This window comes from Homo sapiens, chromosome 6 (assembly GCF_000001405.40).
Source record: "Homo sapiens chromosome 6, GRCh38.p14 Primary Assembly".
Lineage (NCBI taxonomy): Eukaryota > Metazoa > Chordata > Mammalia > Primates > Hominidae > Homo > Homo sapiens.
In genome coordinates this window covers 128,229,041-128,256,044 of record NC_000006.12, presented here as the reverse complement: position 1 = coordinate 128,256,044, position 27,004 = coordinate 128,229,041, and the positions used below count along the sequence as shown (strand labels likewise).

The 27,004-nt window shown below is 35.4% G+C and overlaps 1 protein-coding gene across 6 annotated transcripts in view, besides 1 other annotated feature; it reads left to right on the top strand.

Moving 5' to 3' along the window:
* The window catches only part of PTPRK (protein tyrosine phosphatase receptor type K), a 551,815-nt gene that overhangs the window by 264,555 nt on the left and 260,256 nt on the right, over positions 1–27,004 (top strand). For all 6 annotated transcript variants that reach the window (NM_001291984.2, NM_002844.4, NM_001135648.3 and 3 more), the window contains 2 exons: positions 13,443–13,524; positions 15,895–16,010. In NM_001291984.2, coding sequence (NP_001278913.1) covers positions 13,443–13,524; positions 15,895–16,010 — 198 coding nt within the window. The remainder of the gene's footprint in view (positions 1–13,442; positions 13,525–15,894; positions 16,011–27,004) is intronic.
* Positions 15,587–15,881: a silencer, noted in NCBI's record as "tiled region #6879; HepG2 Repressive non-DNase unmatched - State 15:Elon". NCBI's record gives its function as "represses a minimal TATA promoter and a strong SV40 promoter by Sharpr-MPRA in HepG2 cells {active_cell/tissue: HepG2}" and the evidence as "EXISTENCE:reporter gene assay evidence [ECO:0000049][PMID:27701403]".

The window sequence follows — 27,004 nt, the reverse complement described above, 5'->3', positions numbered from 1 at the left end:
CTTCTTGTTGAATAAATACATGGCTAATTGTTCAAATTTTTAAAAATTGGTATTTTATACAGGCTTATATTTTTGTTTTAGCTGGCTATCTGATAAAGAAAACCTATGAATCTACTTACAGTTTTTTTCTTGAAAAGGAAAAAGTTCTGAAGGAAGAAAACCTATAGGATTGAAACTGTCATGTAACTTTTAGCTCAGCTTGGAGATCAGCCTAGATGAATGGTTCTCACATTTTAGCCTGCATCAGTATCACCTGCAGGAGCTCTGAAACCATGGATCGGTGGGTCCCACCCACAGAGTTTCCAAGAAGTTTCCAGGTGTTGTTGATGCTTTTGTTGCCAGGACCATGTTTTGATAACTTTTGACCTGATCTGTCTTACCAGTATTTTTCAGCCTTCAGCATCTTGATAATTTGTTCATACTTTAATGCCGATATGTGGAGTCAGTGCAAAGGTTAAACAGGTTAAATATCTCCTGATGTCTTTGGCAAAGGCCTTCTGTTTTCATAGACAACATCTAAAATCATTTGAGTGGCTCTTTCAGTCCTCCTAAATCACTTTATGTTAGTTTCTATTCTATACACTCTTTATTAAAGGAGGCACTTGGTCATTATAATGTCTAGTGCTTTCCCTCACTTATGACTAGATACTGCCAATAAAATTAATGCTTTCCCTCGTCTTTTTCACCATCTCCCATATTGTGTTCTCAATGAAGATGAGTTTATCTCTCTCCATCTATCCTTAAAACCTGATTTAGGGCCCGGCATGGTGGCTCACGCCTGTTATCCCAGCACTTTGGGAGGCCGAGGTGGGTGGATCATGAGGTCAGGAGATCGAGCCCATCCTGGCCAACATGGTGAAACCCCGTCTCTACTAAAAATACAAAAATTGGCTGGGCATGGTGGCGGGCGCCTGTAGTCCCAGCTACTCAGGAGGCTGAGGCAGGAGAATCACTTGAACCCAGGAGGCGGAGGTTGTGGTGAGCTGAGATCGCGTCACTGTACTCCAGCCTGGGCGATAGAGCAAGACTCTGGCTCAAGAAAAACAAAACAAAACCCTGATTTTATTCCACTTATTTTGTTTTATATGGGTAACAACATTGGTCTATGAATCAGGCCCATTTTAAAAGTAGAGTTTCAAGCCTTTATAATTGTACAAAAAGTTCCAAGGATTTATTTCTCCCTAGTATTTCTTAATTTCTCTGCTTCAACCCATTTTTACTGATTGTCGGACACCCAGAGAGGTCATAGGTATTCTTCAAAAAGTTTGTGATATGAAAAGGATGTCGTTTCCTTCTTTTTTTTTTGACTAACTTCTGAATAATCTCTGAGTATTCTAGATAAAAATATTTTGCCTTAAAATTTTTAGCAAGATTCTTAAAGTCTTACAGACTTCATCTTTTGCTGATTTATGACACATGAATATTTTCTTAAGCATATCGTCAAAAATTTGAGTTCATCTTCTGCAAAGAATCAAGTGAACCATATACTTTTAATGTCTTCATTTTAAATATATGTTTTAAGAAAAAAGTCAAGACAAATATAGATATGCATATTTGTGTGTTTGCACCCATTATTTTTAGTCGTTCTGGGATATCTTCTAAAGTTCCCTATTATTTTCTCCTGTTGAACCTGACTGTCAAACGTATTGTTTGTTACATCTCTTCGTAAATATTTTTCAATTTCAGCTGGGCTTTTACTAGCTAAAAGCACTAACATCATAAATTATATAATAATATGTAATTATATTTGTGCTATTTAAACGTTATATAGCTAATGATATCACTGTTCTTGACTATTTGTCTTGTAAAATAAAACAGAAAATAAAAGTTCACAGGCGTTCTATCCCTAAATTCAACTAAGAGTACACAAACTAGTTACTCTTACAAACTTTATGTCAAAACCTTTCTCCTCTCCCCTCCAACCATAACTAATTTTTTCAGTAGGGAAAGTTCACAATACTTTTGAAATTACTTAATTCTTAAATCAATATTATGTAAGTAGAGAATTCTCTTTTTACAAGAGGTTTAAACAAAACAATTACTTATTAATATATCTGAATTTGTGATGTGAAAACTCAAGTTTAGCATCTGGCTGAACTTTGTCTGTATGTAGGCTCATCCATTTATCTTATCTCTTCACTCAAAATTAATCATCTGGTTTACTTAAAGGTTGCTTTTCTTTGTAAGTGCATACTGTCATCAGATTTCATCTGTTAATAGATATTTAGTATGATGGTACATGTAGGCTGAACTACTGATTTTAATTTTCTTGAGTTTCATAAGCATAAATTAAAGCTATTGAGAGTTGTTTAAATTTGTTAAGAACAGACTTACTGTGTTAGTTTGAAAGCATTATTTTTCAAATATAGTTGTGCAGGTGAAGTGATCTACTTCTGCTATGTGTAAGATTGGACTGTTGGTGCTGAAATTTAAAAGGTTCTGCTTGTGGATTGTAGGAAGACAAATGGCACATCTCTAGAAGTGAGGAGAAATAGTACTGTAATTCAGTGTCATGTTGATAGAAGTAGAAACCTTCACCAGTCATCTTTTATTTTTGTACCAGACAACTAACTATAAAATATAACCCAGATGGTGGAGCTATGATAGTAAAGATACAGAAATGACATTTTGCTGATGAATTTTCTGCTACTCTTTGCTTCCCCACTTTCAGTTTTATACCAAATCTTTTATGGTGTAGGTTGCTTGCTTATGTATCTAAGGACAGATCCATAGGATGAAAAATGTGTTTAAGGGCATTTTTAGATCTTGGATTATTTCAGTAAACTTTTATTTTCCTCTTTTAATTGCCTTTTTGGTTTTTCCTCTCTTTTTGCTAAACTCATATTCTCACATAAATTAGACTGAGCCATGAATAGTGGGTCCTATTTCAATTTTATTTCTGAGTTTCATATTTAAGGCATTTGGGATGTATTATTATGCTCTGCCTGTCTGTCTGCCTATATTGGAATTGGGAAGCCTCAGAAGAGAGCAGGGGTTTGGCATACCTTATACTGTGGTCTCTAGTCTCAGGCAGCTTCACCACACTTAGGCCCTGAATTGAACTGTAAAAGGAATTATGGAAAGGGGCTTTAGTGATAGGGGTGTCAGACATTAGGAATGAGCAAGGTAGTGAGTTTGTGGTACTGTTTTTGTAGCACAGAAGAGCTAAAAGGTGTATCTGCGATGGCAAAGGTCAGGAAAGGGGCTAACATTTATGAGAAACCTCCTAATTTGTGTATAATATCTTTTAATCTTTACAATGGCCTCATGAGGTCGGAACTGGGACCTGAGTTGAGGTCTGTGGCTCAGAGTTGGGGCTCTGCTGCTGGGAACTGTGGTGTGCACTGTGTTGAGTGGGTGTGCTTGTGTGTGTCTCTGTCTTACCTTGAGGGTCTATGTCAAAACCTTCTTGAGAAAGCAAGTATATAATCCCTTCTACCCCCAGAGCCATTTTAATGATATAGAGAATATGCAGAGAACACAAGAACTTTTTGTGGGTTTATTTTGTTAAAGTTATTCATTCTCAGTTCAGGTTTTGGGTTTGTTTTCAGAAATGAGAAGTATGTCTTAGTCACTTTAAGACTAAGAAGTCATGTGTTTTTGATACATATAAACCTGCGTCAACATCTATTCTAATTAAAAACACCATTGATAATCGTTTACAAGTGCAAGATTTCAGGAATGCAGAATTAATTTAAATAACTAGTGGACTATTATTATAACTTCAACATACTAGCATACACTCTGAAATGATTATTGTTCATTCATTTATTTAGATTTTCTAGATACTTTTAGTGATTACATTAGGGATAGCCAACTCCCTGGGCTAATTTGAAACATAGGAATGTAGTATGCTTGCATATTCATTTCAGTATGGAACTTGTGAAAATCTCCGTCTTTGGGCTTTTCTTTCATACAGGCTACTTTTGTATGAAGTCTGTTAGGTTTTATTTTCTCCTTCTGATCTGTGGTCCTGACTTTTTACAGTTACCTGGACACTGCCATGTGCTTTGACTGATGTTCTGTTGTTTATTAGGCAAAACACAGTATCATTCTTGAAAGGCCTGCAGTTGGTGGATGCTCTAGCTGCTTTTCATGCAACTGCACTCTGGTTATACCTGATGTCATCCCTGTTAGATAATGTGGTAGTCCTTCTCATCATGCAGGCAATTGGTAATGCTAAACCTCAGGATATTTTTGTAATCAAAGCCCTTGTAATTGGATAAATTGATGTTTTATTAAAGAATACCTGGTAACATTATAAATAGTATTAACATTCTAAAATTAACTTGTCACTGTAATATTAATTACAGTGATATATGGATACATAGAATTATGTGGGCACGTGTATATATGTATGTGTGCGTAGATATATGAAAGTGAAAGAATATTTAAACCTATACTGTAGCTCCTGCTGAGTGGCAGATGCTGTAACTATGCAAAAGGCCTGTGTGTATTCAGGTAAGAGAATGTTGGTATTTAGAATCTCTGGAGCCCTAGTTACTCCCTGTAGATAGTAAAATCCTGATGCGAAGTCTTGATAATACTAGTCTTTCTAAGGAACCAGCCATTTTTAATCTCAGGACATCTTAAGGAAAATTATGCATCTATGAGTCATGGAAGTGCTAAGGATAGCTAAAATCTGAAATTACTTAGGGGTTAGATGAAGAATCGATTTGGGCTTGATTATATGTCTTAATTGCCTTCCATATTTAGTTGGCATATAATTAGAACCCCCTCATTACTTTCTCAAGAAACTCGAAAATCAAAGAGTTTACAAATAGTCAAATAATTGACTTTAGCAACTCTAAAGCAAAGAGTATACAAATATTTCCCTTGTTTAGATATTTTATCTATGTATCTTTTTGTGATTGCAGGTATATATCTCCTTCAGGAACTAAGTAAACAAGTAAACAACAAATAGGAAAAGGTTAATAAGAATTCATCAGTTTCAGAGTCTCAAGGCCTTGACTAAAGGCCTTTTCACACTTTAGACTCTTAGAAGTGGACTATTACATGAGTCAATAGGCAAACCAGCCTGTCTTGCAGGGGTCTGACGAAGAGAAGCTCCTTTTCTCTAATATTTGCTGCTGATTCTTAGTTGAGAAACCATAATTCCAAATTGCCAGTGTCTATGAGAGGAGCTACAGTGAGTGACAGTAACTGCTAGTTGTACATTGCACTTTTGGTATCACCTGTCAGTTATGTGTGTCTTCATCTTTATGTATGGATGAAAATAGAATATGCACATTTGAAAAGTAACTAGATTCTAGAATTTTAAGTTTTCATGTAGATACTGGACTTACTCTGTAGAAAATCTTCTGGGGCCTATCAGCAGAAATTTATGCCTTATAGCATTATTTAGCTGTTCAGGGGAGGTTTATGTTTTCATGATTTCTAATATAGCTTGGGAAAATTATCTAGAACTTTCTCAAACAAGTGTCATTGTATTATTTCAACACAATTTTGTGAGTTCAGCAAAAATGAGCTAAATGTCTATTCTCATATTTCCCTTTTAGGTAAAACAGTTAATCCACTGATACTGCATTGTTGTTTTCTGTGACATATTGGGACTCTTTGAGCCCTGACTGTCAACAGGATTCATGTGGTTCAATGATGTTGTGAGGAACATGACAATCCATTGCCCTCAGTGAGTTTATATTTTACTAGAGGAAATAAACATCAAATGTTTACTTAGAGTTAATTATGTAATTATAATCATCATATGTTCATGGCTATAGCCTACAGACACTTTTTCCCAAATATTCTCTAAAAGAGAAGATATTAATTCCCAAGTAACTTAGGTCAATGGGTGGTGTATTAGTTCATTTTCACGCTGCTGATAAAGACATACATGAGACTGGGAAGAAAAATAGGTTTGATAGATTCACAGTTACATGTAGCTAAAGGCCTCATAATCATGGTGGAAGGTGAAAGGCACTTCTTATGTGCCTTGGCAAGAGAGAATGAGAATCAAGCGAAAACGGAAACCTCAAATCTCCTGAAAACCATCAGATCTCGTGAGACTTATTCACTACCATGAGAACAGGATGGGGGAAACTGCCTTCATGATTCAGTTACCTCTCACTGGGTCCCTCCCACAACATGTGGGAATTACAGGAGCTACAATGCAAGATGAGATTTGGGTGGGGGCGCAGCCAAACCATATCATGTGGGAAATGTCTTTGCACCTTCGAGTTTTTTTTTCTTTCAACCACGTCATCATCCTTATTATTACCTTCCACTGGACCTGAAATCATTTTGTTCTACTCATGATGAACTTGGGTACCAGCATAATTTAGAGTTGCTCTCTCCACTTTCAAGGCTCATCGTCTTCCTGACGACATCAGTATATGTGTGGAAAGCGCCTGGATAGTTTTTTCACCTCACCACTTCCAAAGGTCACACCTCTGTTTACTACTCTGGTTACATGGATGTTGTAATATCTCACAACTGTTCTAACTTTATGCATATGTATCATACTTCCCAAGTATAAACCTATCTTCTTCTACTATACTCATTTTGCTTAGATCATCCAGTAACTTCATGGAGAGCTCCAATCCATCAAACCATCTGTCTTTAGCTAGTTCATCAACTTGCTTATCATCAAATGAAATCAAAATTTGATTTCATTGTGATAACTTTTGTTATACAATTGCTGTTTCCATAAACTCTTTACTGACTTTTATTCTATCCACTTTTTCTGGGCTTAAATTAAAAAAAAAATACTGTTTTTTTTTTTTTTTAAATCACACCACATGATAGATTTTGATCACTAGAAATTCAGGGTTATCAATTTCAATTGGGTCCAAATATAACTGGAAATTCTACTACTATATTTTTCTGTTCAGTTATCTTTGTTCTTCTACTCTGTATTTCAACTCCTTTCAATTTTCTCCAGACTTCAACCACTCCTTCTTTTCACTAGCCTATTACTTATAGCTGAGAAAATTGTAGTCATATAATGGAAACTTCTTTGGCTACCAGTCCTAGAAATTACATTTTTATGCATCTTCTCATTTCCTCTTACTATAAAAAAAGGCAGAGAGAGCCTGTCTTACAGCCTGTGATTTGGATTTTATCCTGTTTCACACTAACAGTTATCACTTCTTTCATGTGTATACACAAATACTCGCTACCAAATTGAATTATCCTCAATATCTAAACAAGTTTAAGTGTTTCTTACCTTAAAAGTAATAAGAAAAATTTTTTGAAAGTTGAACCTTTCCTTGATCCCATATCTTTTTCTATCCTTAGTCAAATTTTTCTTTATCCATTCAGACAAACTTCCTATAAAGCATTCTTAACCTTGGTGTCTCTGTGCTTTCACTGTGTTCTTCATTGTCCAATATAGTTTCCACTTCCATTCTTCATACAGACCGCTCTTTCTTTGGGCACTTCTGATCTCAATGGCACAAATAAGGGGCATTTCCAATAACCATTTTATGTAGTATTTGGCCAGTATTGGGTTCCTGACATCTCTTCTCCTTTAGATACTCTTTTATTAATAAGCTTTTGTGATGCCATGTACTTCCATTTTCCTTTTGTAGTTCTATATACTTAAATATATTTTTTTCATTTCCCTCTGTCCTCATTGTAGCCTCATCTTCCTCAATCTTATCAGAGTTGAAAGTATAGGGCAAAGAGAGTGAAAGATTGAGGACACATCTTGTGGAACTACAATGTTTAAGGTTCACATGGTAGAATTCAATTTTATGTGATGATGTTTTATATATATGCACATATATGTAATGTGTATATACACACAGATGTATATAGTCTTGTTATCATTTGTTGAATGTCTACTTTGTGATAGACAGTATTTGAGCTTTAAGGACACAAAGTTAACTACAGTTCCTAAATTGGAGGTCACACCTTGTCATAACAGATAAAGATACATGTGCTTTACTGGTACTCATAGGGTTGGATCTGCAGTGTCATTCTATCTTTGTGTGTGTTACAGATGCCTATTTTATTCGTTACTGAAATTTGGGCATAAATATTTAGAAATAGGTTTTGATTTGGGCACATTTGTTCTTTGAAGGCAGATGTGTGATTTATTCTGAACGTTAGCAAAATTTAATGTTTAAATATTAAAATAAAAAACATGAATTTAAGGAGGTTTATAGGAATAAAATACTAGTTTATTCATGTTTTTCCAAACTGGGATTGGGGGGTTAGGTTTTTAGTGGAGGGAGAAGGGAATGGAAGAAATATAATTTTAGTACATGTGTCTTTTATGGCTATTTTCTGCTCATAAAAGTGGTGCCACTTAACATAGCATGCTTACTGTGTGGCAGGAGATGTGCTAAATGTTTTATGTGCATTATCTCATTTAATCTTCCCTATAAACTTTCCTTTATAGAAGAAGAAATTGAAGTTTTCATTTTACATAAGTTAAAGTTACAGTTAAAGGGTACGAACTAGGCCAGGTGTGGTGGCTCATGCCTGTAATCCCAGCAGTTTGGGAGGCTGAGGCAGGCAGATCACTTGAGGCTAGGAGTTCGAGACCAGCCTAGCCAACATGTTAAAACCCCGTCTCTACAAAAATACAAAAATTAGCCAGGCGTGGTGGCATGTGCCTATAATTCCAACTACTGGGGAGGCTGAAGCACGAGAATTGTTTGAACCTGGGAGGCAGAGGTTAGGGTGAGCCCAGATCATGCCACTGCACTCCAGCCTGTGTGACAGACCAAGAATCTGTCTCATTAAAAAAAAGAAAAAGAATATGAGTTAAATATATATCTGACTTTGGAGCCTGGGCTCTTAACACTATGATATATTGAAAGAATATTAAGGGGAAATTTTTTTCAGATTTTTCTAGTATCTGTAATATCTTGTATTACATATTGCATATATTAATTAATCATTTCACATATACCATTCAGTCTTCACAAGAAACCCGTGATGTACGGAAAGGCAGTATTGTCAAGATGAGACTACAGAGACCCGAGTTAAATATTAATAACTTGCTTGGGTTACACGTGATAGTAGATCCCAGGCTTCCAAACACCCAGTTCAGCTTTCCATTATAGGAGACACTTCCTGTGGATTCATTCAGTTTGCTAGAGGAAAAAGTTGTCCTTGTTCTCTAGGGTTTCCCATCTCCCCCAAGTTTAATTCAACTTTATTTCACTTATTTAGTTAATAATCCAGGACTGTTGCTGGAGTAGCAAAAATTTGATTAGAATCATCACCTTCAGTGTTTCAGGTAATGGAGTGGAGTAAAAATGGCTTAGAAAGCAGAGCCTGTTCATTCTGCTCCCAGGCTGGCCTCCTGGAAGGTTTAAAGTTGACATCTGGTATGGCTTTCATTGCTCTCTTCTTCTGGGAAGCCTGGTTGACTGCTTGACATCAAGCATTAGATCTGACCTGAGCATTAGCCCAAGCACGCTTTGCGTAATTAAGCTATTGAGATTTGTTTTCCCTGACAGGACAGAAGAGCCCTACAAGGTGAGGGCTCTGTTGAAGTGATAAAGCTGATTAGATCTTTAGCAGTAAAGGAATCTGATCTTAGAAATTTCTTCTAGCTCTCGTTAATGAGGCAAAGACAACATTTAGCAGGGAAAATGAGGTCACTAAAAAGAGGAACTTTTTTTTTTTTTAAATAAAGAACCAATTATTTTGCCTCCTTTTAAATCAAGGCCTCAATTTATTGTCCTGAGTAAAGCTCAATTTAAATGAACACATATGAAACTTTTTCTCAGGGGTGTAGTAATCTTGTTTAAAGTACAAGAAGTTAAACAACTCAAGAAAGTGAAGCTAAGATAGACCTAGAAATTAAAATAATTTAATGAATACTGACAACAAAACTGAAATAACCAACAATGATGTGTATTTATTCATTAGAATGTCATTGTTTTCAAAAAAATGATTTTTAAAAACTTTTTTTCTGTAACTTCTCTTTCCTTAAACCACAAACAAGCAAATAAAACTTATTTTCCTAGGATACATTTATACAGACTTCAGGTATTACACTGTTGACAATCACACCTTTTAGTTTAGATAGCACCTTTCTATATGCTGCTATTTAATCCTTAGAAAACTTTTTTTGAAAGCTGTATTATATTCATATTATGGGGTTAAGACTTAGCTCTAAAAGTTTCAAATCTCAAATTTATGTGAATCCTCAAGAATTTGTAAACAAGAGGGCTTGGAGTATAATACAGGGTTTTTTTCACCCCTGAGAAAGTGGTCTGTACCAGAGTTGTCTCAAGTTATACATTATTTAAAGTTTTTAATACTATTTTCTATTTCTTGCTAAGCCCTTGTTCCAGTATTTACAAAATGACATGGGAATTATGTTCCCACCAAATACATTTATGTGAAATGTAAATCATATGCACACACATATTGCACACCCTCCTGTGTTCATAGATGGCCACCCTTCCATCATGAAGCATTCTGCTTACCACAAAGACCCCATCCTCCATCTCACTTTCAGCTTATTCCAGTAAAATCAATTGTCACAAAGGGTAAACTTGGAGTAGAAAAGAAGTAATGCAGGTAGTTTATGATTGGGACAGATGGAAGGGAGATGAGCCATCCATTCCAGCGGCTTACCTTATCTCATTGTTATTGACTTTGAGGTGGTTGTAGTGTGAGAATGGAAAGGGTTTAATGGAACCATGCTGCCATCTTGTCAATATAATGTCTAGTCAGTGTGCTAGTTAAAATGAAATTCATTTTTTAAATTTAAAATTTACTTAACATTTTAGACTTTTAAAGGAAATTTAAACTCTAAAGTCTACTTAAATGAAATACTCTGTGTCTTCTTTTTCTTGAGAAGCAATGTAGTAAAGTTTTCAAAAGCAACCTAGAGGCAGGATGACTCAGGCCATTCCCGGCTTCACCACTTGTTAGCTTTTGTGCCTTGGTTCAATTACTTTTCTTTAAAATGAACATGAAAATAATACCTACCTCGTGTGATTGTAATGAGGATTAAATCAATTTATGTGTGTGTATGTGTGTGACTGTAGCTTGGGACAGTCTACTTTATATAGTAAGTGCTTGACAAATGTAACTTATTATCAGCCCAGTCAATCAAACTTCTCCTCCTCCACCAGAGTAAAAATGTCCTGGCAGAGTTTACCAAATACCTAAGAGCTAACCCCAAGTGATGCTTATTAGTTTCAGTTTCTCTTGACCTCTTTCTTATGTTAGATATTATTTGCCTTTACCTAGGTCTTTTTGGAAAACTCAGCCTCCCAAATTTTCAAGTTGTTGTTCTATTTCTGCAGAACTGCACCAAGCTTTCACAGTTTTCACCTCCTCCTGCTAGAGGTTTTCACCTCCTCCTACTAGAGGTTTTCAGTCTGTACTAAGCTAGAACCATAGCCTGATCTCAGAATTGGCAGATACTCCCATGGGAAAGAATAAAATGGCTGGAGATTATTAGATAACATCAGAGACGCTCTCACCTTCTAAAATGTGTGTGCATCTAGATGCCACTGTTTACACACGTATCTGAAATCTTTAAATTATTGTTATTGTAATATGCCTGGCCTTTCCTAATCCTTTTATTAGGAGTGTTGACCTGCTTGAAACCTCCTGGTACCACCACCCTTTCTTTCTTAACCATTCGATGTTGGCTTTATATCCGCTGGTGGCCTTTTCAGTCTTGACTTTCATTTCCAGTAGTTTTCTTCTCTTATTTATCTTCTTATGCCATCTTACTCACCAATCACTTTAACTTTCAAATTAGTCGCTTATTCCCTTCCATGGAGTTATCTGATATCCTTCGTCAGATAACTTCGAAATTTATACCTTTATTTTACCCTGATAATCTTCTCTTCCAAATCTATCTATCTAGTTATTACTTAAGCATTTTCCACTGTGTGTTATCATAGGCAAATCAAATTTGAAATGTTCAAAACATACTTCATTATTTTCTCCCTCAATTTGTTTCCTTTTCTGTATCACTAGTCCTGAGAAGGAATCCTGACAGCATCATTCACCTAGTAGTCTAAGCCAGAAATCATTGAGTTGTCCTATATTTCACAACTGAGTCAGTAAGTTCTACCTTCTCTGCTTCCTTAGTATTATTTTTATCTTTCCTTTTTCTTCTCATCTCACCATTCCCACTACTTCTAGCATATTGACTTATTTTTTCTCTCCATATCATCTTTCACTTTATAGCCAAATATGTTTCTATTAGACCAATTTGATTATATTCTATTCTTACTTTAAACATCAACTTTCATTACATTTTAAAAAATGCTTTGCAAATACTCCAAAATAATGTATGTATCCCCATGAATAAAGGAATCAAATACAACATTGAAGAGCTGAATGCTAAATCTGTTTTCTCTTGAAAGTCACAGCACACATTATTATTGTTATTTTTTTTTAGAGTCAGGGTCTTGCTCTGTCGCTCAGGCTGGAGTGCGGTGGTGTCATCCTACCTCACTGCAGCCTTGAACTCCTGGGTTCAAGCAATTCTCCCACCTTAGTCTCTTAGTCTGTGAAGTAGCTGATACTATAGGCATGTGTCACCACACCCAGCTAATCTTTTTCTTTTCTTTTCTTTTCTTTTTTTTTTTTTTTTTTTTTTTTTAGCGACAGGCTCTCACTGTGTTCCCTAGGCTGGTCTTGAACTTCTGGGCTCAAGTACTCCTCCTGCCTCAGCCTCCCAAAGTGTTAGGATTATAGGTGTGAGTTACCGCACCCAGCCACAGCACACATTAAAAGAAAGGCCATATCAAGCTTTGCTATTGACTATAACTACAAAACTGTAAAATGAGCTTATATTTAAATCTAGAAACTTTTTTTTTCTTAACATTCTTGGATATAAAACTATTGAGTGCTGTACTCCTGACCTCACCCTCATGGTATTTAAGGCCTTCCATGCCTATGTCTCTAATCTCATCTCTTCCCTTTTGAGCCTTTGTAGCCATAGAGATTATATTTATTTAGTTTTCCAAACATGCCATCCCAATCTTTTTCATTGTATTTGTTCCTTTGGCCTGGAACATCAATAATCTGTTGGTTGACACTCATCCTTGAAAATTCAGCTGTTTAAAACTCAGATTATCTTACTAATGTGTTCAGTGGTTCACATACTGCTTGGCACATAGTAGGTGCTCCATGTATGTTAAGTAAACAACAAAAATGGAAAAAATCAATATGCGAAAGTTTACCTTTAAAGAGATTTTCTATGTCTGCCTATATATTGCCTATTCAGGATATATAACAATACTTGGTAATAACTGCTTAAAAAATTTAAGCTGCTTAACCTCTGTAACGTAATTTTTCTTCAAATTTTATATTTTGATTTGTTTACCTGTACAAGAGTTAGGAAATTACTTACATTATAAGGTTAAATTTTTAATTCTTACTGAACAAAAATTAGATTTACTTTTGCATATATTTAGCTATTCCCCTCCACTGTAGAAATTCCTTGAAAACTATTGTTGTAAATATTTTCTGTTTCTTTTTGACAGGTAATATTTGAAGCTGAAGTCTCAGGAGGGAGAAGTGGTTATATTGCCATTGATGACATCCAAGTACTGAGTTATCCTTGTGGTAGGTTGTGATTAAGAATTGTATTTTTCTATGTCCTTTCCACACTTGCCTTATATTGGCAGTGACTATTGATTGTTTATCACTTGGTTTTTGCTGTCTCTCTTGTTATTGTTAGTCCTAGCCTTCTATTGAGTTTTAAAAGGAAACTGATATCTTTCTAGAGTTTTTGAATCAAATATTTTTCAAACTTGTAACTAATTGTATACCTATTAGGAGATTCTTTTAAATTATTTCATTACTGAGAACAAAATATACATGCAAAGGCAGCTGTTAGTAGGACTTGTTCATTTTTTTGGCATCATTAAATTGTCTAGAAAAACAGAGAAGAATAGCAAATCAGAGTTCAACAGAAAGGAAAATATAAAGAAGCCTCATGAAGTTATTTGATCTGAGTTGAGGGCTGGGGTGAAATGAAGAGAAATAATTAGTTCACCTTATTCCAAATTTAGGACTACTTTTTTTCTCCTCTGTCATAATAAATGTCTGGCTAACTCATGAGGTCAGGAGTTTGAGACCAGTCTGGCCAAAATGGTGAAACCCTATCTCTACTTACAAAAAAAAAAAAAAAAAAATTAGCCAGGCGTGGTGGTGCACACCTGTAATCCCAGCTACTCAGGAGGCTGAGGCAGGACAATCACTTGAACCTGGGAGGTGGAGGTTGCACTGAGCTGAGATTGCACCACTGCACTCCAGCCTGGGCAACCACAGCAAGACTCCGTCTCAAAAAAAAAAAAAAAAAGAAAGCAAACAAAACAAGAAACTCGGTTTATTAATACACAGTTTTGTTATGCCCTTAGAGGCACATTGATTGGTTTTCAGATGGTGTACCTAAATTTGTGTTTACATCACAGTCCATGAAAAACAATTACTGCATGCATTCAGTAGAGCCAGGCAAAAAACAGCTGGCATAAATTCAGACTTTGCCTATATTTCCCAAAAGCAGCATTTTATAGGGCCCGTGAATTCTGGGTTATCTGTTCAGCAATCCTCCCTGAGAAGCATCTATAACACATTGTAAGCAGCAGGCTGGGGCCTCTTGTGAGGGCCAAGACCTGTGCTCCTGCTGAGTGGTTGTCAAACTCTAGTGTGCTTCGGAATCACCTACAGCTGTGGTAAATCACAGATTGCTTGGCTCTTCCCCTGGTTCTGATTGAATAGGTCTGGGGTGGGGCCTGACAATTTGCATTTCTGATTCCAGTGCAGCTGATGTTGCTGGTCTAGAGTTCGTAAATTGAGAACTGCTGCTTTAGTTCATGTTCTAACTCAAGAATTCCTTATTTTAAATCTCTTCCTGAGAGGTAAGTCACTAGAGAAAGATGTAGCCAGTAAGGGTCAGATTATATATACCACGTGGTGGTTGGTAAATTCTAAGAAAAGAGAGAACAAAATCATCTCATTTAAAGTTCAAGCTGCCTTACTAAGTTCTTTCAATCTGTAGTTTAAGAGAGCTGTGTTTTTATCTACTGTTTATTTTTCACTTCTTGAATGATAGGTGTTAAGGAAAGGCTTTCATAAGTGCACAGAAAATGGTGGATTGAGCACAACAGCAGTTTTAGGGTGATACGGCCCTCCATGAACTTTTCTTTTTACTCATGAGCCTTAGCTTTTGCTGTTTATATAAATTTCCTTTCAATGGGAAACATGGATGAGGCTTCAGTTTTAAAAGGTAGTTTCAGAGGATACTTGTCAGTCATAAATCTTACTTATATTTTGACTGCAGTCATTATTTTTGTTAGTCTAATATGGGTATTTATTTTGGATTACTATACTATGGTTATAATGGAATAGAAAAAAAGTTTACCAGTTTAGCTGGTGTTCTTTTTCTGAGAAGCAAAAATATTCCCTTGTTCTTTGAAGTGCTGTAGAGGGTTATAACTATTGATGTTTTTTTTAAAAAAAGATCTAACTGCTTAAAATGTAGCCTAATAAGTTCAATGGCCGTGTCACTGCCAGTAGTTTAGAAATCATTATATGTTTTCATTATATCTTTATATTAGGTTCTGATTTCATGTCAATTTAATCTCTTTTGGTTGCTTTGACTTGTAAGTTTGTAACTGTTTTATTATCATCCATATACAACATGCTATGGCAGCAGTTCAGCAGCAATTGTTGAGTGCTCACTCTGTAGAGAACAATACTCCAGCAATTATGGAACAGTAAGTAATAGAGCTATTGAGAAAAAGAGAACTATGAGAGTCACAGAGGAAATGGTGTCTTCCGGCACAAAAAAAGCCCCTCAGTTTTCTTCTTTCTGATGTTAGTCTTGGCCAAAGGTAAAAACACTAATGATAATATTCAGCTGGAGAAAAGTAACATGGCATATTTTCTTCATGTGAAAACAAATACATTTTTTTTTCCCTTCCTTCACAGATAAATCTCCTCATTTCCTCCGTCTAGGGGATGTAGAGGTGAATGCAGGGCAAAACGCTACATTTCAGTGCATTGCCACAGGGAGAGATGCTGTGCATAACAAGTTATGGCTCCAGGTAAGGCCAAGTTGGCAGCTGAGCTAAAGAGTATACTTTATGTTTTAAAAACATTGCAACAGGACTGTTTGTTGTCTCATCCTTTTGAGTGTGTGTGTGTGTGCGTGTGCACACGCATGTAGTGGGACAGGCTGTCTGCGTGAGTTTAATTACAGATTCATGTTAGAGATTTCCTTTTCTGAAATAAAACACATGAGCAAATAATTAATAAGTATTTTTGTTAGGATCTGGTGAAACACAATTCTCTCTGTTATATTCAAACTGCAAAAAATTCTGTAGATCCATTTGAAATATGAATAAGAATGATATTTTTTCTTATTTAATAATATTTTTAAAACTGAATTTACAAGAGTTAAGTAGGAGCTGTCATACTCTGATAAATTCTTTAAAGTATTTTAAGAAACCCTTGGGAATATTTCAGGAAGTATGAATTGGAAGAGAGCCAATTAAATTTTTGAGTTTGAGGGTTAATCACAGATCTGAGGTGAAGACATTTGCCTTTCACATATTACTTCCTTAATACATTTGTATTTAATTATGATTTAACATACATGTTGGGGAACTGTAAATGGTGCATATAAACAGATTTAAAAGAATCTGAGATAAAACTATAGACTAAGAAATATGCCTTGCCTTCAGAGAATTTATAGAAAGTCTATCTGTCAGTGCTAGGGTGCTAGGGGCTGGGAGGAGCTGAGAGCAGCTCTAAAGCCAGGAAGCTGGACCTAAAACAGATGGCTATTGAGCGAAGTATTTGAAGCTAGATGATGTGTAAGTAATAATATTCTCTGAGCACCTCTATTATTATTTTTTAGGTTCTCTGCATCAGAATGAGGAAAGAGATTTAATAAGTTGTGAATTTTAAATTCATGAGAATGCCAATAGAGACCAAAAAAAAAAAAAAAAAAACAAGATGAGTTTAATTTCTTCAACATAGGCATCATGATTTTTTTTTTACTACATCCTTTAGATAGGTGAAAGTAGTGTTGGGGATAACTATTAGTTTGCAGGTGGTTGTAATAAAGGTTATAATAAATGAATATTGAAATAATACCTTGTATAATGACTGATATGCTGGGTGTTATATTTGTGTTATTTCATCAAGTTCTTCCAGCATTCCAATTGGAGGTTACAACAGGTGTACTTCATATTAATCTAATTATTACTACTTTTATAGCTTATTTGATTTTCAAGTGTCAGGATACCATATTTTGTGTCCAAATATGAAAAGGAGATGAGGGTCCCTTTTTTCTGTGATTATGGTAATTTCTCCTACAGAGATTGAAAAATAGGATAATTTTTCCTGGAAAGCATGTTGTATAATGTGCAACCTGTTTTATCAAATAAATGTCAAGTCAGTTTTCTTATTTCTCTTCCTATGCCTAAATAATAGTTTAAAAATGATTTTAGATATATGTTCTAATCGTTTTGCTAGTGATTTTTTCATTTAGATGGGAACATTAGCTGGCATTTGGCTTTAGTTGTGAGCTATATAGTCTTTTCTTGGAGATCTAGAGGCTCTGTAGGTCTGCCCTTGGTTTTATGCCTCAGGATTTAATGTGACATTGAAATAAAAAGGGTTTTGTATCCTCAGTCACCAGCTGCCTTGTGGCAACAAAGACTTTCTGGACCCTGCTGGTCTGAGTGGGTGGTAGTCCCAATACTGCTCATTTTTTTTTTTTGTTTGCTTTCTATTTTGTAGATAGTCCATTTCATGATGGTTTTAAAAAATGTTCCTCCTGCCATTTTTGTAGCAAAGATGAGAGGTAAAATATTCTATGAAACTTCTATGTTGCTTTCTCCCCTACCTCACCTCTTTTTTTTTTCTTTTCTTTTTTTTTTTTTTTTTGGCGTTTGCTACAGAATGGTGAATTTATGTATTTCTCTTCCACTTTGACATGGACATTGCCTCATTCTTCAGTAGTGTGCATATTCACCTTAATTTATTCAAAAGCTATTTTACCTTTTTCAATAACACCACATCAATTACCTTAACTTATTCACTTACATCAGTCTTCCCCATCTACAAGAAATATTGAAATCTATTAATTACTAAGGGTGTTTTCAAATTAAAATAAAAACTTTTATTATGAAATTATTTAAAAATGAACCAGATAAGATTGATCATTATCTATATATCAATCAATTAGAAGGTGGCAGTGACTTAAAAAACTTGCTCAACTTTTGCCAAAAGTAAAAAAAAACATAATAAAGCAGGAAGAATTCTGGTTCCAAAGTGAATCTACCAGCTAACTCATGCAAACAGATGTCAGATTATTTTCATTTCACGTAGAATAACAGCCTAGAGTTCAAGAAGCTCAGTTCTGAATTCTAACTTTTACTCTAACCCTCCTAAACCTTTTAACCCAGTTAATTGCAGTGGCCTTAGAGATTTCATTTATGTGTTCTGGGCCTCAATTTGCTTATTTATAAAAGGAGATTCTGAATAGACACTAAAATCCCTTCCAGCTGTAAGATGCTAAACTAGGTCTTTACGTTATTTTTGGTGGCTTGAAACATGGCCTTGATAACCTTTTTGTGTGGAAGATGAAAAAGTCTTGTAATTCGTTTTGCATGGGGAAAAATGGTACCTTTAAGTATCATTGTGAGAACAAATGCTCAAAATATCTGCTGCTAGTACTGAGAATGAATGTACTTGAAGCACTCAATGAAAGGTCACTGCAGTCTATCCACAGAGGTAATGGAATAATACAACAGTTGTTATACCTGCCATGGTCAGGTAAAATACCAAATGGCAATCAACTTTATATGTCCTCCAAATAACTTACATTATGTAGTATTGAGCTTCAATTGGCAAAATGTTGTCTAAATATGGGCTAAAGTAACAAAGACTAGAAAAACAGCCAATTTTCTATTTCAAAGGAAAAATGATATACTATAACTCTGTGAAAGGTGTACAGAACACAATGCTTGATCATATTTGATATTTTAAATAATTTGTTATGGAAAAACTGAAAAATTTCTCTCACTTCTGTATTCTTTCTAGGTTATAATTAATATATCAGTCGTTTTTGTTGTCTAAAATAATATACAAATTGAGTAAATTGAAAAATGCAGGGAAAAACACAAACAATGAATTGCCTGAGTTAATCTAGGATAATTTCATAATGCATATCATGGTAGTTCTGAAAGTATCTATAGGGAATGTTCTTTCTTGTAAGAATTGGATTATATAATTGTAGAGTATTTGAAGTAGATCTACCTTCTTGTACATGCTAAATGAACTAATGATACATAAAACAACATCGAATGTTTTTATAAGCCTGAGTGTCAGTAGACTAAAAATATGGTGAAATCATGAGGTTTTCTGGAAAGTAGTTTTTAAAAATATGTTATGCGGTACATTTATGCACTAAAAGAAATTTAGGGTCGGGCGCAGTGGCTCACGCCTGTAATCCCAGCACTTTGGGACGCCGAGGTGGGTGGATCATGAGGTCAGGAGTTGGAGACCAGCCTGGCCAATATAGTGAAACCCTGTCTCTACTAAAAATACAAAAATTAGCCGGGCGTGGTGGTGCGCGCATCTAGTCCCAGCTACTCGGCAGGCTGAGGCAGAAGAATTGCTTGAACCCGGGAGGCGGAGGTTGCAGTGAGCTGAGATCATGCCACTGCACTCCAGCCTGGGTGACAGAGCGAGAATGTGTCTCAAAAAAAAAAAAAAAAAAAAAAAGAAATTTAGAATAAAGTCTTTAGTCACCCTTAGAGAACTTCCAGATTATTTTTCAATTGAGAGCTCAGTGAAGTAGCATGTATTCTGGATATAAACGCATTTTTTGGTTAATGATTTGTAAATTTTTTCCACATGAACAGACATTTTTTAAATCTTCTAAGTTTTAGAACTAAGCCATTTTAATTTTGTAGTAGTGTTCTCCTATCCTTGGGGGATACATTCCAAAAAGCCCAGTGGATGCCTGAAACCACACATAGTACCAAACCCCACATATACTGTTTTTTTCCTATATATACATACCTATGATCAAGTTTAATTAATAAATTAGACACAGTAAGAGATTAACAATAATAAAATAGAGCAATTATAACAATATACTGTAATAAAAGTTATATGAATGTGAGCTCTTGTAGCATATCTTTGTACTTTACTCACCCTCCTTAGGATGAAGTGAAATGATAAAATAACTCATAATGAGAATAAGTGAGGTGAATGACATAGGCAGTGTGATGTAGCATTAGGCTACTATTGTCCTTCTGACAATATGTCAGAAGGAGGTTCATCTGCTTGGGGCTATCCTAGATCATTGAGCCATGACGATTTTGATGGTTGGGATGTCAGAAACACACAATGTCGATGACTAACAAGTGAGGGATGGCACAAGATTTCATCACGCTACTCAGAGTGGAGTGCAATTTAAAACCTATGAATGGTTTATTTCTGAAATTTTTCATTTAAGATTTTCAGACTGTGATTGACAGAAGGTAACTGCAACTGCCCAAAGTGCGACCTTGGATAAGGAAGGATGTCTGTATTCCTGAGGAACGTTCAATGATACGGAATTTGTGATTCATAACTTGAAGCTATGATAAAGCTCTACTTATGGGAAATAAGATCAAAAGTGAAATTATAACATATAATTTATACTGAAATGAAATAATAAAAAGCATTTGGTTATATTCTTGAGAAGTGTCAAATAATTTTCTTACAGGAAAAATAAAAATTAGATTGTACACTTTTATAGGTTAGAAATGTTGGTTATTTTTAAATTTTGAATTTTTTGAATTATTTATTTTCAGTATTATTGAAAATATTTAAAATTCAAAACTTTTAAAAAATATTCAAATATTTCAATATTTGCATGTTTTTAATATTCTTGAATTATTTTTATTTTTTAATATCAAATTATTATCAATACATACTACTTGTACATATTTATGGGGTACATGTGATATTTTTGGAACAAGCATATAATGTGTAATGATCCAATTAGGGTAATTGATGTATCCGTAACCTTGAGTATTTATTATTTCTTTGTGTTAAGGACATTCCAATTCCACTTTTTAAGTTATTTTGAAATATACAATAAATTGTTAACTATAGTCACCCTATGGTGCTACTGAACACTAGATTGTAACTCTTATGAACACTGGATAAAGTGATTGCAGGAAAAAGTGAATATATAAGCAAAAAATGAACATATGGTGTAGCAGTTCCATTCCTAAGTATTTGCCCAAGAGAAATTAAGACATGTGCCCACAAAAAGACTTGTACAAGAATGCCTATAACAGCTTTATTCATAATAACTGATAATTAGAAAAAACCTACATGTCCATGAACAGGATAATAGATAGACAATTTGTGGCTCATTCAAACAATGGAATACTGCTTAGCAATAAAAGAATGAACTGCTGATAATGCAACAGCGTGAATGGATCTCAGCAACATTAGGTTTTGGAAAGAGGACAGACACAAAAAGGTCATATCCTTTATAATTTCATTTACATTAAGTTTCATAAGAAACAAAACTAACCTATGGTGATAGAAATCAGAACACTTGTTGCCTGTGGGGAATAAGGATTAATTGGATGTGGGCAGGGGGAAATTCTCTAGGGTAATGTTAATGTCATATATATTGACTGGGGTCTTGATCTATGAGTGTACAGACATTTGTCAAAGATTAAGATCTGTCCAATTTACTAATTATGTTTACCTGAATAAGACACAAATGAGGAAAAAATGAGTAAGTGACACATTTTATCAAATAACGAACTTACTGGCAGTGCTAATCAAGCCATAGATGGTAATAGCCTACAGGCATTACTTGCGTTTTTATCCATCTTGTCCATTTCAAGTGATTTGATTACATTCAAAGGTAATTTGTAATCATTAGCCTAACTTGAAATAAACATGTTCTGAGTTTCTGCTTTAAGAACACCTTATAACTTGAGGATATGAAAGGGTTGTAACTGGGGTTGGACTGAAAGTTATGCATTAGTATTCTATTATGAAGGTCCAGTATAAGTGGACACCTACAGGGTAAATCAAATAGAGCCTATTGCTGCAACATCTGTCAGACCATATGCTTTGGCTTCAAGTTCGGTGTAGAAACTAAAATACTAATGACTCCATCCATCATTACAGCGCTTGGCAGGCCTGCATCATTGAATTGGGCAGAGAAATTCAACAGTGGAGTTATTGAAAGTAGGGAATTGTGTGGGTAGATTTGGTGGCACCATTTGTTTTGGTGAATTGAAATGAGGCTGTTTAATGTGTGACTGGTAATCCTATGCAGATTGTCATCAAAACTGTGGCAATTGGGCCAATCTGTCAGTAATCGCCGCAGGTGCTGGCACTGTGCCTCCTCCGTGGGCCTGCCAAAACAGGAGAGTCAGCCACCGCTTCGCCCTTGGTGAGGCTCATCATTGCTAGAATAGTGTGATACAGCTAGTTGCTCAGCCAAAGGAAATGTCATTCCTTATGGAGCAACACATAATTTAAGCAATGGCTTGAGAGTACTAATTGGAGAGTGAAATCAGTAAAATGAGATGCAAATTGCTCTCAAAAACAACCAGAGCGAGGCTGACCCCCTACTGTACCAACCGTTCTCAGTGAAGGGGCAGTGAAAGCGGTTGGTCTAAAACTTCTGACCACATAGTGCGTTACCTGTCCAGGCAAATTCCAAAGCCTTGTTCCTGTACTCCATGCAAACATCACCACATGGTAGTGGGAATCTAAAGCATGATTTCTAAACAATTGAGTTAATTGGGAAGCACAAAAATTTTAGCTGATGAAAACATAGCACTACACCATTTCAGAGGCCTAGTAGTTACGGCTCACAGTGCTCTTTCTGATGACCCCATGCTATAGCATTTTTCTATGCTTATTTATATTGCCATTTGGCAAGCCCAGATGTTTGCAGCATATTTAATTTCTGCAAGAGATTTTACTATCCTGACACTATTTATTTTAGGAAAAAAAAGATAATTTTCCACTTATTATAATGAAGGTAAGCTTCCTGAAGAAATTACTGCATGCTTAGGAACTGCAGTTTACAGTAGGCAATTCTTTGGAAACTATTTTGAGAGGAGGTTTTTAAAGTCAACTTGATTAAATACATAATATGTGATCAGCTCACGCTAGGTAACATGCATAAAGAAAAAACAATGCAATGCAATATAATAAAAGTTGCTCTAATGTCTGGACGTGGTCAAAGTTCTGACATTTTCTAGGTAAAAGACTTTAAGAATGGCTGACACACTTCTGAAATATTAAAATAACAAACAGTAGCATATAAGTACCAAAACAGTGAGTAAACTTGAACAATGATGTCAGAATTGCTAAAGGCACATGGCACAAATATATCTTGAGATTTGTAGAAGATTAGGTAAGTGACTTATTTACTACCTTGTAATGTAAGGAATATACAAATGGATTTAATTTCCTCCTTATAGATCCTAAAGTATAATAATGACATGATTTGAAGCTTATGGTGAGAGCTATAAGCTGATTATAAGGGAGAACTTTGTAATTGTAGGGCTGTTGAAAACTACAATGAGCTGCTCCAGGAGGTAGTAAAATTACAATTAGTCCAAGTATCCAAGCATAATCTGGGTAAGCATATGCTAGAGATGTAGAAGACATTTGAGCCTGAGGTTAACTACTTTTTAAGATACTTTTTGCCCTGACATGTGATTCTATAACTGTGTATGGGAAGTCTGTATAGAGTCTAAGGACTGTACTGTTTCAGAGATAAGCGTGAGCAACGCGGACTGGAGTATTTGGTGAAATCATTAGAGAAGACTTGATTGAAACCTTGAAGTGTACATAGTACTTGAATAAGCAAAAGTGGGCATGGTTACTACTGCAGATTCAGAAGGCAGAAAGCACGTCGTGTGTATGTGTGGGGACGTGGGATAGGAACCGAAGGAGAAGGATCTTACTGAAGTGGAAGGTTCACCATGAGGAGTGGAGGTAAATAGAATTTATGGAAAAGTTGGTACTAGACCACGGTGGAGACTGCTGGAAGAGGAAGAGGCTTCTGTTCTCAGTACAGTCATCAGGGAATGAGGGCCTGATTCCGGACAGCGCCATTGGCATTGGAAGATCCATGAGTAGCAAAGGAGAGGACAAATTAAGAAACAAAACGATTTTGGGCCTGGTTTGCACCATTTTATAGAATTTGAGAAGATGTGAGAGTGAAGTAATATAGACAGCTTTGTACATTTTCTCAGAGTTTATTTTTAAAAGACAGTCAATGAGTTTGTTTTTTCAATTTCTAGTTTTGGAGCGCATTTGTCTATTAGAACCATTGTTTTACTTTTTACCTCTTTCTACCTTCATAATTTCATGTAAGTGTTCCTCAGTAGGAGTGAAAAATGAGGAGACATTTCAATTCCTTTTGACTCTTTCTAGCTTTAATAAAAGTTTACCAAGACAATTTGAAGCTTGTCGCCAACTTAAACCTCTGAGTGGCCCAGGTGTCACTGAGGAGAATTAATCTATGGGAAAACTGTTGGTGCCTTCAACCTTGGCTGCTTCTGTAACTTCTGGCTCACAAGACAGGAGTGTGAGGAGTGCAAACCATGTCCCTTGTGCTTTCCTAGTTTCTTGTCACCTGCTCTAAACTTTAGCTGATAGATGAATAGTAGCTTGCTATTTAATTCTAATTTTCTCTGCTTTTGTCTAAGCAGTAGTGATTTTGCCATGTATACACTGGTTTACAGTTAATTCTGATCCACTTAAGAGACCGTGTTCTCTTTCGTAGCTAAGAGCCAACACTCGGCAGTCCTGCTTTTCATTGGGCCATTGGTATATTCTAATTCACAGCATTATCTTCTTTCTGCATAGCTTTATATAAAGAATTCTGCTTATAGGTCTTGAGATAAAGTCACCGATCTCATATCATGGATTATAAGGTTTTTCTTCTGCTTTCTGGCATTTTGGATATGTAATGATGAGCATCAGAAAGTTTAATCATATTTACTTTTTAGAATTGTTAAATACTCCTGAAGTCATTTTGGTTGATTTTATGTGGCTTCCTACCGTAAAGAGATCAATGCCTTGCAGATATAAAGCTTTCTTTTCCTTCTTTAATAATTTATAAACTCTGAATTTAATGTTTACAGATTACATAACTGATCATAAATGAATAATGCGTATAATATTCTTTACCTTCCTTATCTATTCTTGGAACAGGACTATACAAGCCTGGCAGTCATGGAAGTTCAAGGATTGCTTTTTATCGATATCTAGAAATAATTTACTTCTCTTTCTGTGCAAGAACAATATGCTCTCCTGTTTGCAGAGCTGCCCCTTCAGTGTGTTTCTAGGTGTGTCACGTCAAGCACTTTGTAACTTTCCCATTGAGCTCCTGGGATCAGTATTACAACATGGATCACTGGCAGGCCTGGTTTCTTCTTTATGAAAAGTAGTCTGCTAGAAAGATCTAAAATTTACAAAATTATTTTATTGTAAAATAAAACGTAGGTATAGAATACCACACAAAAATAAAAACTATTGTGACTCAATATCGGGTAAACATCACACAGGACAAGAAAGAGAGCTTGCCAGCCATCCCAGAGGTGCCGTCCATGTGCTCTGTGCCAGGCATAACAGAGCTGTCTCCCTGCCTCTACAAATAACCACTCTCATGAATTTTAACCCTTGTAGTTTTTTTGCAGTTATATATGCATCCCTAGACACCATAGTCTTACCAGTTTTTAAAATTAGACATCTTTTTAAGTCACTTTTAATCTGTAGGTTTGTCCTTTATTCCTTTCCTCGCAATTTATCTGTTGAGCCTAGGATGTTTGACTTCTAGCTTCCCCTGTCCACATTTTGCTGATTGCATACTAATGCCCTCTTCAGTTCCACATGTCCCTCTTTCCTCTCCATTTCCTGCAACTTGGCAGCCAGATCCAGGGTCAAGTTTGATCCTTTGGCAACACCATAGGTGGTGTTTGGTATAATAACAGGAGGAACAAAATGTGTCATCTTTCTTTTTGTGATCTTGTCAGTCTCTGATGATTAATGCCTATATTTATTCCTGGGGGTAGAAAACTGTGATATTCTATCATTTTTTTGTGTGTCTTATTTCTTTTGTATTTGTTTAGTTGATGAAAAGATACATACTCCCCCTAATCTACTATTTGGTTACCCAATAACACAATTCATTAAGGAAAGGGAAAATACATGCTCCAATCTTTGCTATATTTACTAGTTTAAAATGAGTTGGTTCCCTATCATCCTGCAAAGATGACTTACTCTTTTTTTCTTTTAATATCATTATACACTCATGGATTTAAATATATTTAATGGAGTTTAATTTGTTGCAATTATTATTTCTATTAAATCTTAAATCGTCCCATATTTGCTTAGTGGGCACCTCTCCAAATTTGCTCCTGATTCTTTTTGATATGATTATAGTAGGCTTTGAGAGCTTCCTTGCTACCTGGTACTGTGAGATGTTTCACTTTCTCCTCTGGATGTGAGATCAGTCATTTTTCAATGATGTCCTGTTTAGTTTTAGTAAGAAATCATATTTCAAGATAACGATGCAGGTTCTGAGAGATACTCATTTCTAGATCGTTTCAGTGAATAGAGCTAAAAAATACATACACATATATTTAATGATAAAATACCTAATGAGTTCATAGGGATATTTCAAGTTGAAGCCTAAAGGTTTTTACTCAATGTTTATCTTATTACAACTTTTCAGTTACATTTTATTTCCACACCGATATTCTTGGTTGTCAGTGACATAAGGAAGGTGGATTTAGAATATATCATAATTATACATTGGTTTTATCTCATTTTATTTTGAAACTTGTACTAAAGCTCCATTGTCAGCATATAGCTATTGCATGGATAATATACTTTCTTCTACTTAGCTCTTATTTAGTCTCACTTCTAAATGTAACTATGTTTTTAATATTCAATATTAGCCCACCTGTCATATCTAGTAATTTTGTACGTCAGAAACACCTTTTTTGCATTTCAAATTCCTTAGGAACTGCTCATG